Here is a 19,053-nt window from a genome sequence, read left to right as displayed (position 1 = left end):
TTTTATGTGGTCTGTGTCCTGGGAGCCTGGAGACCAGGGTCTACCACTGGGTGTATCCCTGCTGGCCTGTGTGACCTCCAGTGGCCTCAGAACCTGTCTGGGCCCCATCACCTCACCTAAGGAAGCTGAAATGAATCAGCTCTCACTTCCTCATGGCAGGGATTCTCATTGCTTTCGTCTCTTCTTTCTCCACTAGTACTCAGATAATGAAACTGCATTTCCCAGCCTCCCTTGCAGCTGGACCACGTCACACACACTGCCCAATGTGGACCCAGCAGATGCTAAGAGCATTGATTTTTTTTGTCTGTTTGTTTTTGAGACAGGGTCTCACTCTGTCACCAGGCAGTAGTGCAGTGGCATGATCATAGTCCACTGCAGCCCTGAACCCCTGGGGTGAAACGATCCTCCCGCCTCCTGCCTGCCTCCTTCTTCCTCCAAAGCTTGGAGACTTCTGATGAGGAAAGGGTTCCTGTGTCTCTAGCGGCTCCTTCTCAATCTGCTTGAGGTTTGGCAGGAGGTTGAAGTGGAGGTTGTGGGGGCCTTGCTCAGAGACCTCTCTGGGCCAGTGCAGCGCATCCCCCAGCCCCTGGAAATGGTGGCTGGTAACACAGCTCAGAGCTGTCCCCTTCTCTAGGGAATTGTACTCCCAGAAATGCCTGTCCACTTTTACTCTGCTCCCAGAGGCAACTGCAGCCAGTGACTGCCTCAAGGGACAATGCAGTGTGCTGTTCCTGCTCCAGAGCCCCTGTGGGGTCAAGCTGAGGCTAGACTCCAGCAGGGACCCCCACCTGGCTCAGCTCCCGCCCCTGCCCGCCTCCTCCAGCTCTCCTCACTGGCAGGTTCCCCCAAAGGCATTCCCTCAGTAAATCATGGCATTTGAGAACTCCTGTCTTGGGCTTGGCTTCTAGAGATCCTGACCTAAGACACAGCGGTTAGGTACAGACCACACCAAAACTCAGGCCTGGAGCTGTCCTGATTGGAAAAAGAGCCACCAGCTCTGAAATCAGGTGTGGACTTCGCAGCTCACATCAGACCCACAAACACTGCTTGCTGACAGCTGTCCACCAGCCTCTCAGCTTCAGTCAGGACTCCCTTTTTTTGAGTCAGAGCCTCGCTTTGTTAGCTAGCCTGGAGTGCAGTGGTGCAATCTTGGCTCACTGCAACCTCCACCTCCCAGGTTCAAGCGATTCTCCCACCTCAGCCTCCCTAACAACTGGGATTACAGGGACATGCCACCATGCCCGGCTAATTTTTGTATTTTTAGTAGAAACGGGGTTTCACCATGTTGGTCAGGCTGGTCTTGAACTCCTGACCTCAGGTGATCCGCCTGCCTCGGCCTCCCAAAGTGCTGGGATTACAGGCATGAGCCACTGTGCCCGGCCAAGGACTCTCTTGACTGTAACAAGCAAATCAGAGTGGCTTGAGCATGTGCCTGAGCCATGTGGGCTTCAGGCACAGCTGTCTCCAGGGGTTCAAATGATGTTGCCCCTGCTGGTCTGTGCATTGGTTTCCCCTGCAGCCAGGCAGGCTTTCACTGAGAGTGTAAGATTGCCACCAGCAGCCCCAGTTTGCAGTGTCTCCTTTTAGCAGCCTCAGTAGGGAAAGGCACCTCTCTCTTCCAGCATTTATGGACTGTCCCAGGCAGAACCCTGATGGGGCCATAGTAATGGGCCTCTTCCTGTAGCTCGGTGAGTGATCTCAGCCCATGAAGGTTATATGGAATGGGAAGGACAGTTTCCCAAAGGAAAAAAAGGAGTTGTTGGGCAGTGAAGCCGAGTCTAGCCCATTCTCACTTTACGAAGAAGAGGGAATCCTCTAAGGCCCCCACACCTGCGTGGGAATGGACACGTGTAAGTGGGCTGGGGAGAGGCGGGGTGTGTGTGTTGAGACAGGGCTCATCACCTTGCCCCGCTAACCACAGCGGCATGGTAGCCCAAATGCAGAGTTAAGTATCGGCTAAATGATTCGCCTTACATGAAAGTGTATTCAACTATTCTCCATTTTTGACTCAGTTAATTAGAGTAAAATATAAGCATTGAAAAAAAAAAAAAACTGGAGGAAGCCGAGTGCAGTGGCTCACGCCTGTAATCCCAGCACTTTGGGAGGCTGAGGTGAGCGGATCACAATCACTTTCTTGTTTCCGGGACACAGGGTGGAAGGGAATTCTTGCCAGGCGTGTTATACAGCCAGTACCTGCAGGGCTGCATGCAGGGCGTGTGTCGTTCAGATGTGACCAATACAGATGCCAGGAATGACATGGCTGTTGTTGACAGAATTTGTCAAAATGATGACCAGCTGGTGATAAGTTTTAAGGAAAACGAAGTTCAGTTTTCCCTTGATGAACACAGTAGTTGCATTTCTGGAAAGCTGGCTGTATATTAAACCAGCTCTCAAATACTTTGTGTTCACCAACATGGTGAAACCCCGTCTCTACTAAAAATACAAAAATTTAGCCAGGCGTGGTGGTGCATGCCTATAATCCGAGCTACTCGGGAGGCTGAGGCAGGAGAATCGCTTGAACCCGCAAGGCAGAGGTTGCAGTGAGCCGAGATCGTGCCACTGCACTCCAGCCTGGTGACAGAGCGTGACTCTGTCTCAAACAAAACAAAACAAAACACAATAAAACTGGAGGCTGGGTAAGGCGGCTTACTCCTATAATCCCAGCACATTGGGAGGCCGAAGCGGGAGGTTTGCATGGGGCCAGGAGTTTGAGACCAGCCTGGGCAACATAGAGCCTGTCTCTAGAAAAAATTAAAAAATGAATCAGCCAGGCATGGTGATGTGTGTCTGTAGTTCCAGCTACTCAGGAGGCTGAGGCTGGAGGATCACTTCAGCCCAGAAGTTGGCTGCAGTGAGCCATGATTGTGCTAGTGTATTCCAGCCTGTGACAGAGTGAGACCCTGTCTCAATAAAAAATAAAAACCAGAAATGAAATGACCTCAAATAAAAATAGAATTGTGGATTGAAAATATAGGCATATGCTTTCCAAAAGACTGGAAAGATAAAAAGGACAGAACCTATTTGAAAATTATGAGATTGCTTCATGGCTGTCAGTGGTCCCAAAGATATGTCCACATCCTAACCCCTGGATCCTGTAAATATTACCTTATATGTAGGCAAAAGAGTATTACTTTCTGTGGCAAGAGATGTGATTTAAGTTATGTTTTATGTTTTTTTTTTTTTTTTTGACAGTCTCACTCTGTCACCCAAGCTGGAATTCAGTGGTGCAGTCATAGCCCACTGCAGCCTCAAACTCCCAGGCTCAAGCAATCCTCCTACCTCAGCCTCCTGAGTAGCTGGGACCACAGGTGTGTGCCACCACGCCTGGCTATTTTTAGTAGAGACAGGGTCTCCCCATGGTGCCCAGGCTGTTCTCCAACTCCTGACCTCAAGTGAACCTCCCGCCTTGGCCTCCCAAAGTGCTGGGATTACAGGCGTGAGACACTGCACCCAGCCAAGTTACAGATCTTGAGAGGAGCTTATCCTGGATTATCTAAGTGGGCTCTCAACACCTGTATGTCGCACCTCTGCATCTCATGAGAGTGATGCAGAGGTGTCTACAGGGAAACTAAACACAGACATTTTGAGCAAAAGACCAGGGGAAGACAGAGATAGGGATTGGGGTGATGCAGCCACAAGCCAAGGAATGTCAGGAGCCACTGGAAGCTGGAGGAGGTAGGCACAGATTCCCCTAGAGTCTCCAGAGACTACAGCCCTGGCAACACCTGCATTTCAGACTTCTGGTCTCCAGAACTGTGAGAATCAGTTTCTCTTGTTTCAAGACACTGAAGTTGCGGTAATTTGTTCTGGCAGCTCCAGGAGACTAATAGCACTGTCTAAGATCATTAGAGTTTGGTTTCCATTACTCTACCTAAAAAGGTCCTGGTTTATACACGGTGTTAAGTCTGGCCAAGCCTCAAGGCTGAGTCCAGCTGTGGCCCCCATGACCAGGAATGGGTCATGCGTTGTTCCTCCACATCTGAATGTCAGCCTCCTTGTCCTGCCAGGGCGCTGTCGGTTTTGTGCATGGGCTTTGGGAGACTGCAGTCCTGCCCCCACACTGCCCTCCTGTGACTGGGTCTCTGTTACCTGTTGCCTGGCAGGTGGCTGGGAGTGGAGGTGATGCGAAAAGGCAGGTGCTGGAAGCATCTGTGGATTTATTACTGGAAACTTCACGGCTCATGAATGTCCATCCTGGTGTGGAGCCCGGTGATTAGGTGCAAGGTTGAAGTGGAAACCACTTACCGCCCACTAAGCGAGTCAGGCCGGGCCATGCTCACAGAACCAGCTCATTTTTGCATGAAATGTGGACACGGGTTGGTGGAATTTCCAGAGGGCCAGGAGGACAGGGGCTGTGCAGGGCTTTAGGAGCAGTCTCTCAACCAGACAGCAGCTTGCCAGTGAGCCTGGCATGCTTGTGAGCTGAAGCAGAAAGGCACAGCCCTGCCTTGCCGGGCTGCTGGGAAGCCCTGGATCGGAGGATGTCTCGGGAAGCTGCTCTGCTGGGGGCCTGTCTCTCCACACCCAAGCGAACCTTCAGTTCAAGGCAGAAGAGAGAGAGAAAAATTAAGATGAGGACACACACTAGAAAGTAAAACACACACAAACTCAGAAATGGAGTCTTCAAGGGGCAGGAACCAAACGTGGAAGGAAAGGCTTACAGGGCATGCCAGTGGGCCCTGGCAACTCCATCCAGCACATTTGAGATAGCCATCGGGATCTTCCGGTCTATGGCTTTCTTGTTTCCAGGACACAGGGTGGAAGGGAGTTCTTGTTATACAGCTGGTACCTGCAGGGCTGCAGGGCGTGTGTCTGTTCAGACGTGACCCATACAGATGCCAGGAATGACACTGCTGTTGTTGACAGAATTTGTCAAAATGATGACCAGCTGATGATAAGTTTTAAGGAAAACGAAGTTCAGTTTTCCCTTGATGTACACAGTAGTTGCACTGCTGGAAAGCTGGCTGTATATTAAACCAGCTCTCAAGTACTTTGTGTTTATAACTGGGTTAGGTTCTCCACGCAAACAACTGGGAATGGACTTTTTCATTCTCAGAAATATCCAGCAGGCCTACCAGGCATGCTGCCCCCTCAGGGCCTCTGCACCTGCCATCCCTGTTTGGAATGCTCTTCTCCCAGACCTCCACATTCCTTCCTGCCCCCTCCACTCATCGTTCTGCTCAGCTGTCACCTTAGCAGAATGGCTTCCCCTGGCCACACTATGTTAAGTAGCAATCCCCCCAGCACTTTCTACCCCTAACCCTACTTTTACCTTTCTTCACAGAGCTTATCTGACATTTTATTATCAACTCCCCTGGAGGACATGGAGTTTTCTGTTTTGTTCATTGCAAAATCTCTGATCCTGACACAATGCCCTAGCCCTGATGTGCTCAATAAAAATTTGTTGAATAACTAGGTGAATAAATCTAGAGAATTAATTAATTCACTTAAGCAGCATAAAACAAGATACCTAATTCTACTACCTTTGGCCTATAGTGCTCTGTTCCACAAAGTCATTCAGGGACCCAGTCTCCTTCAATCCTGTTGTATTACCATCTTCACCATAAGCCTTCAAGGTTGATGGAGACAGTGGAGGAGACACTGTTACTGTGAATGGCCTTGAAATGACACATCATTGGTGAGGGCTGGTCCCAAGGCATCTGGGTAGATGCCACGGGCCCAGGCCATGCAGTCGAAGCTGTGGACTCAGGAAGAGGAAATGTGTGGTAAGCATCTGGCCCAGTTTGCTATTCTGATCACCAAAACCAGTTTTGTGCTTCCTCTCCTACATGGGTCACAGGCACCCTCTCCTAGGGGGACAATACGAGGTCACACCCCGCCCAGACCTCCAGGTGATGCAGCCTCCCTCAGGTGGCTCTTTGAAGTCCACAATCCTGAATTAACAAGACAGCTTAATCCACCTCCCACCCAGCAGGTAGTGATGAGAACAGGCAGGACACCCTCCTAGGCCCTCCTACCCAGGAAGGAGCGGGTGCAGATGCAGCAATTGCTGCTCTGCGGTGTTTTTGCAATCCTGCTGGGCCCTGTCCTGGGCTGGGGGGAGTCCTCGCTCAGGCCCAGTTCTGCTCTTGGGCCCACATCTGAGCTTGTAAAGCCCTCGCTGGACACAGCTTTCACAACCATTTTCCTGCCTGAAGGTGGATTTAAGACTTCCTCAATTGCCACCGTTTTTTTTTTTTTTTTTTTTTTTTTTTAAGGCTTTGCTAATGGTTTCTTAAATTTACTACATCTTTATTTATTTCCAGGCAGGTCCAGGGTCAGTGACTACATTCATGGTTTGTTCCTGGAAACAGTTCTCATGTCAGCTTTTTCTTTGCTTCCTTAACCACGTGCCCCTCCCTCAAGCTGGTGGCTTTGCAGTTTCCATGCTCCAGTGGGAAGACCACACCCTTCATTGGATGGTCACCATGAGGCCCAGTCACTGTGTTCAACTAAGTCTCATGGGGCCTTTGTTGCTCACCTGCACCTCTTACTGGTTGGAGACTAGAAGCAGTTGGCTTTTCCAGAATTGCAAGGCCCTGGTTAACATCTTTCCATCTTTTTCCCTTCTGCTTGTAAACTGGCTAATTCTTTCTTGAAGTAAACTTTTTCTCGTGATGCCTCGCCAAAAGCAGCCAGTAACAATCAACACATATTTGTTGTTGTTGTTGTTGTTTATTCCCCTCAAGTCAAAAAGTCAGCAGACATGGAGTTTGTTTTCCGAGTTATCGAGTGAAACGGCCTTACCAGATGTTTTGCTCCGCCTGGCAGGGACCTCAGTTGTCCTGCCAGCTGCACCTGTCTTATCACTGCTCGCCACCTGGCCACACGCTGAGCCAGTGCCATGTACTTAAGGGTTTGGTTACATGTGCACTGCACTTCAAAGTGCTGATTTGTATATTAGTGAGAATAAGAAAAGCTAACTAGTGTAACAAAGCCCCAAATCTCAGTGGATCAGCAGAGTGAGTTTGCTTTCCAGTGATGCAAAGGCCAGCACAGCTCTTACTGATCAGGCGGCCGGCCTCTAAGGGGTGACTCAGGGACCCACAGTCCCTCCAGTCTTTAACATGTGATCCGTAGGAGAGTCCCCTGTGGGAGCATTTGTGTGCCACGTTTGGAATTGGTGCCCATCACTTCTTCCAACCTTTCCTTGGCCATGGCTTAGCTTGGTCCCAACCTAACTGCAGGGAGGCTGGGAAATGATGAGCTGTGGGCCCAGTAGGTTTGGTAAACACAGCATTGTCTCTGCCACAGTACCACCAAATCACAGGGTTTCTATCCTGTTACTGTTGGTGGCTCTCATAACCCTCCCTGGAAGAGTTTCAAGGTCCTTCTCAACTTGTTTGCAGCCACTAGTCCAGCCATTTCCCTCCCTAAGCCAGACCTGAGCTCTGGTAGGCAGGCCTCCTCCAGGCTCCTGCCCTCACCTCAGGCCCTGGCCCTAGTACCCTGCCATCTTCCCCTACAGGAGTGACCGTCTTGTGTTTCCTCCTTCTTTCAATGACCTCATCCTTCTGGAAGGAACTGCTAGCACTGGGAATCTGCACTCTGCACTGAAATACATGACTCTGACCCATTCTGAGGGCAGGAGCCAAATAAAAGGGGGCAGGACACACAGGAGGCCCCCAAACAAGGCCTTGCCAATGGGAGTAACTTCCTCAAAACTTCAAGGCCGAGGAAAACACTGGCCACGGCTGAGACCTGTCAGCACACCTGAGATTTAGCAGTTTGGAGACAACCTAGAGGACATTCAGGAGCCTGTGAGGAGAGCGCAAAGTGGAGGGATAACAGCACCACTGGAGACAGTGGTGTGGTTAGTGGAGCAGTGAGACGGCTGTCCATACCTCACTGCTCAGATCTGTCCCTGCCCCCACGGGCCCAGCTGCCCTGTAGGCACACAAAGGCTGTGTGGAAGGTCTGTGGCTCACAAGCTGCCTGGAGGGCTGTCTGAGGTACCTGCCAGGGGTTTTCACCCTCACCTCCGTTAACTGTCAAGTGCTCCCTCTGACGCAGTCTGAAAACTGGTAAACGCTTTTTTTTTTCCCTTAAGGTTCTAATGACCAAAATGTAAATATAGGCAAAACAATGCAAAATCAAAATGAAACACTCAGAACAAAAGCCACATTTTTACCAGATCTACTTTTATTTCAGAAGGAAGTTTGTATTATAGTATTTACTTTTGTTTATATACAAGTTCTTCACATTTGTGTTTAAAATGCACAGACCTCCCTTAGTTCTCTTGTTCCTGCTTAAATTAGCTGTTATTTTACAATACAAAAAATACCAAAAAATTGCAGTCCTAAATGTATGTATAACACCCACAATCCCCGCGATGAAATAGTTTACAATACTTACTCCATATTTACATGAGTGTAATAGATGCTAAATTATACATATTAACAAACTAAGCTTGAATCCAAACAAACGAAATCGTAAATAACTATAAAACAAAAACATTTCCAGAGCCAGAATTAGTTCAACGAAACAGGCTTCACTAGTGTTTAGAATGTTTTGTGCACAAATTCAGTTACTGAAAATCAATTCCATTACTGCCTTTAAAAGATGAGGTGCCAATTTTCCTCTCCATTTCAAAACATCTCCTTGTAGGCAGGGTGTTTGACTCTCATCAAGGGGCAATATCTCTTGGTGGGCCTGGCTATCTAGAAACCACCGCAATGGCTGGAGCCAAGTTTGGTCAATGGGGTAAACATTTCAGAAGGTAGGCAGGGCATGCCCTGAGGCCAGGAGGCCTCTGCCGTCCTGGCTGTGTCCTCAGGATGGCCAATTCTCACAGAAACCACCACAAGGAAAGATCTCCTGGGATGACAGGGGTGTGAGGACTTGGATTTTGTTTTAATTCTAAAATCTATTTTTACATCTCAGTCACTACCCTAGCATTAGCTTAAGTTAGTGTTTAGCAAATACTTGTTGAATGGATGGATGAATAAATGAAATGGAAGGATCAAAGATGTTCATGAAAACACCACCATCTCCCAAGGAAGTGAATCAGCCCCTGGCCCCAGTACACCCCATTAAATCAAAGGAGCAGGATTTGCACTGGAAGGTAAAATGCCTCTTCCCACCAGCAGTGCCCTGCTCTTTTTATTTCCCAGGTGTCTCCAGTCTTGAATGGCAGGACTTACCCACGGGTAGTCCAGTACTTTCCTTCTGCTGACAGTCTTCTGTCCAGGACTGCCTTTCCTCCGGGTTAGCTCAGGGGATCTGGGGTTGCCTTCTCTCCACACGGGGAGGCACAGGCTTCTCCCCAGGCTGTGTGCAGGGATGGCAGGAGGCACACAGGAGTCCAGGGTATGTCAAATTCTCCATGGGGAAATGGGAACTATTTATCAACAAACTAGCTCCCTACTCCCACCCCCAGTTTTCAGTATAATAAACTGATTCCAGGAAATGGTCATTAAAAATTTAGACAAAACTACAAAAAATGGAGAACCCCCTTTTGGAAAGTCTGATTGCTACAGGTTAGTCTTTGAACTTAAAGACTAAGAGAAACATTTCTCAGGACAAGACTGGTCATCCCTCACTACCCAGAGCACCAAGAGGCTGCCAGAAAGGGTCATGATGTGCTTGCAGGGCCAAGGGCAGCGGCAGGGACGCCTCTGCTTCCTGAGTCTCCTCCAGCACTGTCGTTTCGATTCCCTGCCTGATTTTTCATGTGCACTCTGACAGATGAGTCCTGTTTTAAGAAATACCTAATTGGTGCCAGATGCATCTGAACACATCACACAATGGGGATGCGTTTCTTGGGTTTGTTATTCATGTATCGGGGCCTGGCGAGAACCTGGATATCCAGCATATGGCACAAAAACATCTTAGGTGAAACTCAGACATTGTTATATTTAATAAAAATACATGAAGATTTTTTCTGTTTTATGTACACTCCGAATGTCTGAACATTCTGGACACTACTGTATAGTTATGTACAAGTGCAAGGTCAGTGTTGTCTTGACTATTTTAATTTATATACAGGCTCTCTTGTGACGCGCAACACTGCCAGATGACAACCAATTCCTTCTTGGAAACAGGCTCCGAGCCCAGCGCCTCTTACTCCCTGCCATTCCCTTTTTCTGCCCTGAGGCCGGAGAAAGCTGTTTGCTGTCGGTTGCAAAGGAGAAGCAGGTGGATTCAGCGGCTTCCCCACCGCTGGAGCAGAATGAAACTTCACTTGCTCCTTCCTTCCTTTTTAAAAATAAACATTATCTTTTAGGAAAAAAATAAGACATAACCAGATGGCTGTGGGTCATGGTGCATGATATTTCAAGGCATAGGACTAACATGGGGAAGAGACTTCTTTGGCCTAGGAAAACTGGTCCTTTGAACAAACAAAGAGGATCTTCCTTGTAGGAGGACAATACCCAGGGGCCTCCCTTTGGCCTTGCTGGGGGGGCCTGTGGGAATTAAGGGGCCAGTCCACTGCAGGCGCCATGGGTGCTGTGTTCTGTAGCAGGGATGGGGGAGCTCATGAGAGGAGGGGTCTTTTCTAGAACGTCTGGTCTTTAACAGTAATGTGAAAAAGAAGCTTTATGAGAGGTGAGTCTCAAAGTAGAGGTGTTCTGTGCATCAGATAGTGTTTTATGGTTCAAATTCCTTGAAAACATCTTTCCAGGCAATTCTTCATGGGAGTGGGGTTAGTGTTGGGGAAGAGACAATACTCTCTCTCTAGGCACTGCATTTAAAGGTAAAATGCTGCAGTTTTAGCTCTTTTGAGTATCTCTCCAAATTCACAAACTCGAGCATTGCTGTCCAGCGGTCCATCCCAATAGGGTAATGCCAGAGATCCCAGGTTTTGAAGCAGAAGAGAGCTTCTGGGAGGCTGCTGCATAATGCCAGAATACAGAGCACCATAAATGGGGAAAACACAATTTCCAAGCAGTGCCCTCTGGGAGAGGAGCAGGGGACTGTCCCACCCTCTTAAATTTGGTCATTTTCCATTTGGCAGAGTTTTCCCTCCTCATCCATTTTTTTCCATGTGCTTTTCATCCTTGTCAGCATTTGCTGCCCTCCTCACAGCCACCACCTTGGTCTGAGAGGGAGGGTGGGTGGGTCGAGCCCCTCCTGGGGGAAAGAGGGCAAACAAGTCCTTCTCCAGGCTTTGGGCAGCTTCTGCCTGACAATGGGAGGCTGTCCCTTTCCTGGCATCTGAGTCCACCCCAGCCTGAGAATGAACCACAAGTTCAGAGGAGGCTGCAGGACACACAGATGCTCTCTGATCCAGGGGTCCCAAGTGCTCTCAGTGCTCTTTTCTGCTCAAGGAAGCGTGACATGAATGAGTCCTTTCCTCTGATCGCTTATCAGGCCTAGGGTGACACGGGGGTGGGGGCAGGGGGCGCCTTCTTGACAGTGTCCTTTTTGATAATAAAAACAGGAGCTTTCACAGTTCATTCATTTCTGCTTTCCTCTCATCCCTGCTGCTAGATCAAATGTTCCTTGGGTGAGAAAATTCTTTCCTGGCTGCAAATCAGATTTTAGAAAAAAAGCAGATTGCCAATGGTAGCTATTTAAATTTTACAAGAATGTAGGAATGCAATTATGTAAAAACTTAGGCTTACTAACTTTCCAATTGCTAGATCTATTTAAAGTCTAGGCACTTAGTGTTGTGTGTATGTGTTTGTGTGTGTATGTGTGAGAGAGGGAGGGTGAGATGGAGAAGGAGAGGGACAGGCAGAGAGAAAGGAAGAGAGAGTTTCAAATGGATTAAGACTAAATTAATCAAGTTACTATAGAAAACTACCTATTATACCAGTTTACATTCAAAGTAACACTGCTGACCTTGACATTTAAAATAGCCCCCCTTCTATCCTAGCTTGATATGATCAAAAGAGATGGACCATTATTAATTCTCAACTAGAAAAAAAGGTACTCCCTGGAAGAGAGATAATTGCCTAAATCGTGCAAGAATAAATAGCACATCTTTTAAAAAAGATAGCAGGCTTCAGATGAAAACAATTCATCTGACTAGTTTTTAAAAGACCATGTTCAAGAACAACTGATGACGAATGTCTACTTGTAAACACTCCATCTTTTGTTTTTTGCACAGTTGAGACAGTCCCAAGAACAGTTTTCCACAGTGAACCTGAGTGTCATTCCTAGTTCTCTCACTGGCTCTACACTGGCCTCCTCCAGCAACCATCAGCTCATCCCTGGACCTGTAATTAAATCAAGTATTTCCTATGCAAAAGTAAAAGGTTAGATGCTGGAACACGGATGGGAGAAACCGTCAAAGAAAGCTTGTGATCATGCAGGTGAGTCAGATGCTTTGAGGGTTTCCAGTCTTCCGTCCCGCACCGCACAGCCATTTCCCCGCCACGCCCTTCCCTGCAGATGGCTCTGGTGTGCCACTCACTAGCTCGTGCGTGGGAGAGTCCCTGGCCCCAGCATCAGATGCAGGTCCCAGGCTGTGCAGGGGGCTGCTGCTTCCGGTTTCTCACGGCTCCTGACTTCTCCTTGTACACTATCGGCATCTGCTGAGAAATGTCCACCAGGGCGCTGGCCACAGCAAGACCTTGGGAGAACCACAGAGAGAACATATGCTGGGAGCAGCTGGCTTTTATTTTGTTTTAAAAAATAATTTAAACATTTATTTTTCAATCCCATGGTGCAAAACAAACAAACCAAAAAACCAGAACAAAAAACCCCCAAAAAGGTACACATACACAGGGAAAAGTCTTCCTTCCACCCTGACCCTCCCTCCGCCTTCCCCTCCATCTGGGTAAACGCTTTCACTAATTTTTATGTATTCTTTGAGGGTATACTTATGCAAATACAAATACACATTCTTCTCCTTTCCCTACTTTTTACACAAAAGGTGCAGTTTGCTTTTCAGCACATCAACCAAGCACAGTGCTCTGCTTGGTGGTGGGAACATATAAATGAGATTGTAGACGTGTGCTAAGTGCCCAATTTCTCCTGCCTTCCTCCAAAAGGAGCCGAGAAACAGCAGCACGCTTTATGACGAGATTCAGATTCACCCCTATCACTCAGTCAGCATTAGTCACTTCCATTCCATACCACGATACAGGCAGGGCAGGCTCTGGGGCCAGGCTTTGGAATAAGCAAGGTTCTTTAACCTCCCTGCACCTCAGTTTCCTCATTTGTAAAATGGGGATAATAGTAGTACAGGGCTAGTGTGAAGAATCAATGAGTGAACTGACAAAGTCTTAGTACCTGGCATGCATAAAGTCTTAGTATCTGGCGCGCAGCAACCCACGATCAATAGCAACTACCCTTTATGCTCATCACTGCCCCGCCGCCCACTTTGCTTTGGGGACTTGCAATCCCATTTTCCTTCCTGTATTGATAACGGAGTAATCTGACATCCATTAGGGAAGGCACGGTTCTGGGGGAGCTGGATTCCTAATATACGTGGGAAATGGCCAGCGCAGGCTCGGAGCTCTGCTGAGACCTGCCAGGAGTTGTGTTAGTGGAGCGTGTTACTTGCCTTGTTGAGCCTGTGAAGGGGAGTGGGGGTGGGGGTAGACAGCTGTAAGTGCCTGGCACACAGTGGGGAATGCTCTGGGAGCCTAGAAAAGGGCACCACTTAAAACAGGGGGTACAGAAGGGGCAGCAAGGACGGCCCCACTGTTGGGTGGGTCTCAAGCATTGAGCAGACCTTTATTAGGTGTTTCAGGTGGTTGGGGCATGTCAGGCAAAGGCTGGAGCAGGAAAGGCTACAGGGCTGCACACCTGTCACCTTGCCGCCCCAGCCGCCACCCTGCCCTCAGGGCACACCAGCCACTGTTTGCTGGGCTGGGCGGTGGCAGGAGACACAAACTGCACTTGAGTGACAGACGAGAGAGTTGTCCTGTCCTCAACACAGGCAAGGCCGAGTTAGGGGCTCAACTCACAGGAATCCCTAGGTGAGATGAAGACAATGAATCCTGGCCGAGCCATGTCGAAAGGCCTCCCTCGTGAAGATACTATAGATCCTAACCATTCTAAAGCTGGGCTGGAGGATCTTCTGGGTCTGAGGGTGCACTGAAGGGACAGTGGAGCTCAGGGCCTGGACCAGTATCCTGGGGCAGCCTTTCCACCAGACACAGGGTGCTCTCTGGCTAAGGTAACCCTGACTCCAGAATCATCTCAACTGAAAGTTGTCTAAAATGATCACATTGAGGCATCCTCCAAAGCACTCTGTAATTAAGCGAGATACTTTCAAAACTGTATTCCATATTTTCTGTCTTCAAAATAGAAGTTTATATAATCATGATTCATATATTTGATGGAGAAGTGTCACATGCATTGGTAAAATATTATGTAGTAGGCTATAAAAATGTTTAAGATAGTTATATGAAAAAAGCAGAATAAAAATTAGATCTATACAATCATTTCAACTAAATTGCTGGCCAGGGCTGGAAAGAACACAGAACAATGAAAATTGGTGGGTTGTGGGATAGCAGAACTGTGCGTGGATTTTCAGACGTTTCCTTTATGTTATCGTTGTGTTTGTGCCTTATATTTAAAACAGTGAAAAAGCAAAAGAAATGCAGGAGGGCTAGAAATACCAATTGAAGAAACACCAGCCCAGGGGAGATGGCTGGAAGTTGTGGAGTGGAGAAGGCAACTGAGGAAGAACATGCAGGGTGAAGGGAGCACACCCAGATTCAGGGGCAGGACAGGGCAAAAGAGACAGGGAAAGAGCAGCAGAGGCAAAGGGGGACCAGAAACTCCGACAGCAAAGGAAGGTGTGGTCAGAGGCATCCACGAGCACTGAGAGGCTGGGGAGGCCAGAACGGTGAGGAGGTCCCGGGACGTCCCCCCAGGAAGGGACGATGACCTCGGGAAAACAGTTTTGGGCATATAGGTGAAAATGGGTTATCTCACTGAATCCTTGCCATGGCATGGGCAGGCACTGTTGGTTATCACCTTTATAACCTTGTTCTCTAGGAAAGGGAAGTATCCCATGCTTAGCTCCCTCACATGCTTAGAAGGTGTCTTTCGCTGGACCGCATCTACTCACCTGACTGCCCAGGAGGAGGGATGCCACCCAGGCCTCGAGGGAGCCTCACAAACACAGAGAGGACAGCGGCTTTGTTGCCAAAACACGGCTCCAGTGCAATGGGTTTGGGAACAGTCTGGCAGAAGAAAACAAAATTACCTTAAGTGATACTCAAGCTTTAATGTATACGGACAACTTAACGGTCATTTGTGCTTATAAGAACCATCAATTTCAGGTATATAAAAAAGGTACATTGCAGTTTTTAAGATAATGAAAAAGGGCAGGAGAGAGCTAACAGTACTCTCTGAGCACCAGTGACACGGGTGGTACTGCTTGCTACCTTCCACTGAGGTCTCGCAGTCCCCTTCCAGAGGGCTGCTTGAACTGTAGGGAAGGGGCCACGCCAAGTGGGTTTCTTCTGGATGCTGTACTTTGGCTCGATTTGAAATTCTAATTCATAACTGTAGGTCACAGGAATGGCAGTGGTGAGTGCTTGGTAGATTTGTCAGATAGTTCTGCATACCTGGCTCAAACACAGATGCAGATATCATGGAGACTTAAAAAACATTCTATTTTGTCTGTCCTTTAGACACTAAGTAGACAAGCCTGCTGGATGTAAAAGCTTGTAAAAGCTGGGTTGGCTGACCAAGTAGATTCTTTGTCTACTCTCTGGATGCATTTGGCTCTGGAAAATATGTTTTCATCTTCTGTTGCAGCCTTTAGATGAGATTTGTCCCCTATATTAGTTTCTTCTCTTTTTCTTTCCTTTCCTTTTTTTTTTTAAAGAATAGAAATGGGGTCTCACTATGTTGTCCAGGCAGGTCTTGAACTCCTGGGCTCAAGCGATCCTCCCACCTCAGCCTCCCAAAGTGCTGGGATTAAAGGTGTGACCTACCGCACCCAGCTTATATTAGTGTAACAAACTACTGCAAACTTAGTTGCTTAAAACAACACCCACTTATTATCTCACAGCTTTAGAGGTCAGAAGTCCCAGCAAGCTCTGTAGGGTTCTCTGCCGAGAGAGACAGGTCTGTTCATGTCTTCCATGAGTTCTGGGGAATTATCAGCTATCTCCTGAGGTCTCTCAGGCTGAAGTCAAGTTGTCAGCTGGATGGGACTCTTAGTTGGAGACTCTGGGGAAGACTCTGCTTTGAAATGCATTCAGGGCTTACGCAGTGGCTCACACCTGTAATCCCAGCACTTTGGGAGACCCAGGAGGGAGGATCCCTTGAGCCCAAGAGTTTGAGGCTACAGTGAGCCATGATCATGCCACTGCACTCCAGTGTGGGTGACACAGCCAGACTCTGTCTCACAAAAACAAAAAAACTTCTGTGGCCACTCCATCTCTAAACCAGGGATGGTGTGTCAAGTCCTTCTCATGTTTCCAATCTCTCTGGCTTCCTCTTTCTGCCACCAGCCAGAGAAACTTTCTGTATCTTAAAGTCAACTCCCTTGTTTCATTACATCTGCAAAATCCCTCTAGCAGTACCTAGAGTAGTGTGTGACTGAATAAACGTGGGATGGAAATCTTGAGGGCCACCTTTAGAATTCTGCTGACTATACCCACAAATGTCATCAGTTTCTTCAGTTTGGCTGAAGAAAATAATTTCCAGTACCACTCTGCTGTGGCACAAGGAACTGACTAGATGGGTGAATGGCAGAGGCAGGGAGATCAGTTATGAAGTAACTGCAAGAATCCAGGTGAGAGACAGCGGTGGCCTAGATCAAGTGGGAATAGTGGCAGAGATGGGACACAGTGGCTGGGAAACATTTTTGAATACGGAGTCAAGATTTGCTGATAGACTGGCTGTCCAATGAGAACATGACATCAAGAATGAGTCAAGAACAATTCCACGATTTTGGCCTGAGCAACTAGGGTGATGGAGGTGTTATGTGCTGAAAGGCGGAAGGTATGTCAGAGGAGCAAGTCTGAGAAATAAACATCCAAAGCTCAGTTTGGCCATGGCCATGTTAAGATATCCAAGTGGGGACACTGAGTAGGCAACTGATGTTTGTGTTGGAGGCTCATGGGAGCAGTCCAGGTGAGAGGATCATGGTACTTAAACCTGTGATAGTGAAGATCACTGAAGAAGTGGGTGTAAAAGACACAAGAAGGGGACAAAGGCAGGGCCTGACGCACACCACTGTCAAAAGATGAAGAGGATTGAGCAAAGACCACTGAGCAAGAACAGCTAGAAGGCAAGTGTGTGGTGTCCTGGAAGAAAATCAAGAAAATGTTTTAAGGAGCAACTAACTGTGTCATATGCTGCTGACATATATCATGTTGTTCAATACTTTAGGCTTGTCTATTTTTTAACCCACAAATATTATTTTACCAGGATAATGTTTGTTTAGATTTCTATATATGATTATACTTTTATTTACTCACTATTCTTTCTTACACTTTAGTCTATCCTCCTGGGGGTAATTTTCCTTCATTTTAGCACATCCTTCAGACATTTCTTTTGTGCAGGTCTGCTGGTGGCAAATTCTCAATTTTTATTCTAATTTGAAGATATCTTTATTTCATCCTTGTTCTCGGAAGGTGCTTACTGGGCACACTATTCTAGGTGGGGAGGTTTCTTTCAGTACTTCAAAGACATTCTCTCACTCTCTTCTGACTTCTGAGAAGTTAGCGGTCAGCTTGTCATTCCTTTGCAGGTGATCTTTTCCCTTTTTTTTTTTTTTTTTTTTTTTTTGCGACAGAGTCTTGTTCTGTCGCCCAGGCTGGAGTACAGTGGTGCAATCTCAGCTCACTGTGAACTCTGCCTTCTAGGTTCAAATGATTCTCATGCCTCAGCCTCCCAAGTAGCTGGGATTACAGATGTGTGCCATCATGCCTGGCTAATTTCTGTATTTTTAGTAGAGATGGGGTTTCACCATGTTGGCCAGGCTGGTCTTGAACTCCTGACCTCAAGTGATCCGCCCGCCTCGGCCTCCCAAAGTGCTCGGATTACAGGTGTTAGCCACCACACCCGGCCTCTTTTCCCATTTTTAACAAAAATTGTGATAAAATACACATAACATTTACCATCTTGACCATTTAAAAATGTACAGTTCAGTGGTATTAAGTATATTCACATTGTTGTGCAACCATCATTACTATCCATCTCCAGAACTCTTTTCATCTTGTAAAACTCAAACTTCGTACCCATTAAACACTAACTCCCCATTTTCCCCTTCTCCCAGCCCCTGTGAACCACTGTTCTACTTCCTGTCTTTATGAGCTTGACTACCACAAGTGTATCTCTTAAAAGTGTAATCATACAATGTTTATTTTTTTGTTACTGGAGTATTTCACTTAGTATGTCTTCAAGGTTCATCACATTGTAGCATGGGTCAGAATTTGCTTCCTTTGGAAGGCTGGATAACATTCCATTGGATGCATAGACCACGTTGTGCTTATCCATTTATCCATCCATGGACACTTGGGCCTGCTTCCACTTTTTGGCTACTGTGAATAATGCTGCCAAGAACACTGATGTTCAAATATGTCTTTGAGACTCTGCTTTCAGTTCTTCTATGTATAAACCCAGATTGCCAGATCATATATAATTCTACTTTTAATTCTGGGGGGAATAGTGGTACTGTTTTCCACAGTGGCTCCATCACTTTATACTTCCATCAACAGTGCACTAACGTTCAGTTTCTCCATGTTGTATGTGATACTTTTTCTCTGGCTGATTTTAAGATGTTCTCTTTGTCTTTGGAGTTATACAATTTCATTATGAGAAATCCAACTTGTTTTCTTTCCTTCCTGCCTTCCCTTTCTTTCTTTAATCATGCTTACAATATGTTTTGCTTCTGGAATCTGTATATTCATGTTTTCCATCAGTTCTGGAAAGCTATCATTTCTGAATATTGCCTCTCCTTTGTTCTGGGATTCTGGAAATATATATGAGTTGGATCTTCTCATTCTATCCTCCATATTCTTAGTATCTATTGTACTTTCTATCTCCTTGTCTCTCTGAGCTGCATTCTGCGTACTTTTTTCAGATTCATCTTCCACTTCGTAAATTCTCTTATGTCTGATATGCTATTTAACATGTAAATTGAGTTTATTTATTTAAAAAATTTCAACAAGTATATTTTTCATTTCT

At 47.0% G+C, this 19,053-nt stretch overlaps 1 protein-coding gene across 1 annotated transcript in view, besides 1 other annotated feature; it reads right to left on the bottom strand.

Annotated features, from left to right (window-relative positions):
* Positions 1-160: an enhancer, noted in NCBI's record as "active region_17481". NCBI's record gives its function as "activates an Ori minimal core promoter by ATAC-STARR-seq in GM12878 lymphoblastoid cells {active_cell/tissue: GM12878}" and the evidence as "EXISTENCE:reporter gene assay evidence [ECO:0000049][PMID:35858748]".
* ATRN (attractin) overlaps positions 8,125-19,053 on the bottom strand; it is a 180,101-nt gene continuing 169,172 nt past the window's right edge. Inside the window, exons 28-29 of the mRNA NM_139321.3 lie at positions 14,975-15,089; positions 8,125-12,520 (exon numbers count right to left, since the gene is read on the bottom strand). Of these exons, the coding sequence (NP_647537.1) occupies positions 12,396-12,520; positions 14,975-15,089 (240 nt within the window). The 3' untranslated portion in view covers positions 8,125-12,395. The remainder of the gene's footprint in view (positions 12,521-14,974; positions 15,090-19,053) is intronic.

The sequence above is a fragment of the Homo sapiens genome, chromosome 20, assembly GCF_000001405.40.
Source record: "Homo sapiens chromosome 20, GRCh38.p14 Primary Assembly".
NCBI lineage: Eukaryota > Metazoa > Chordata > Mammalia > Primates > Hominidae > Homo > Homo sapiens.
Note: the sequence above shows the minus strand (reverse complement) of the source record. Positions and strands in the feature narration are given on the sequence as shown.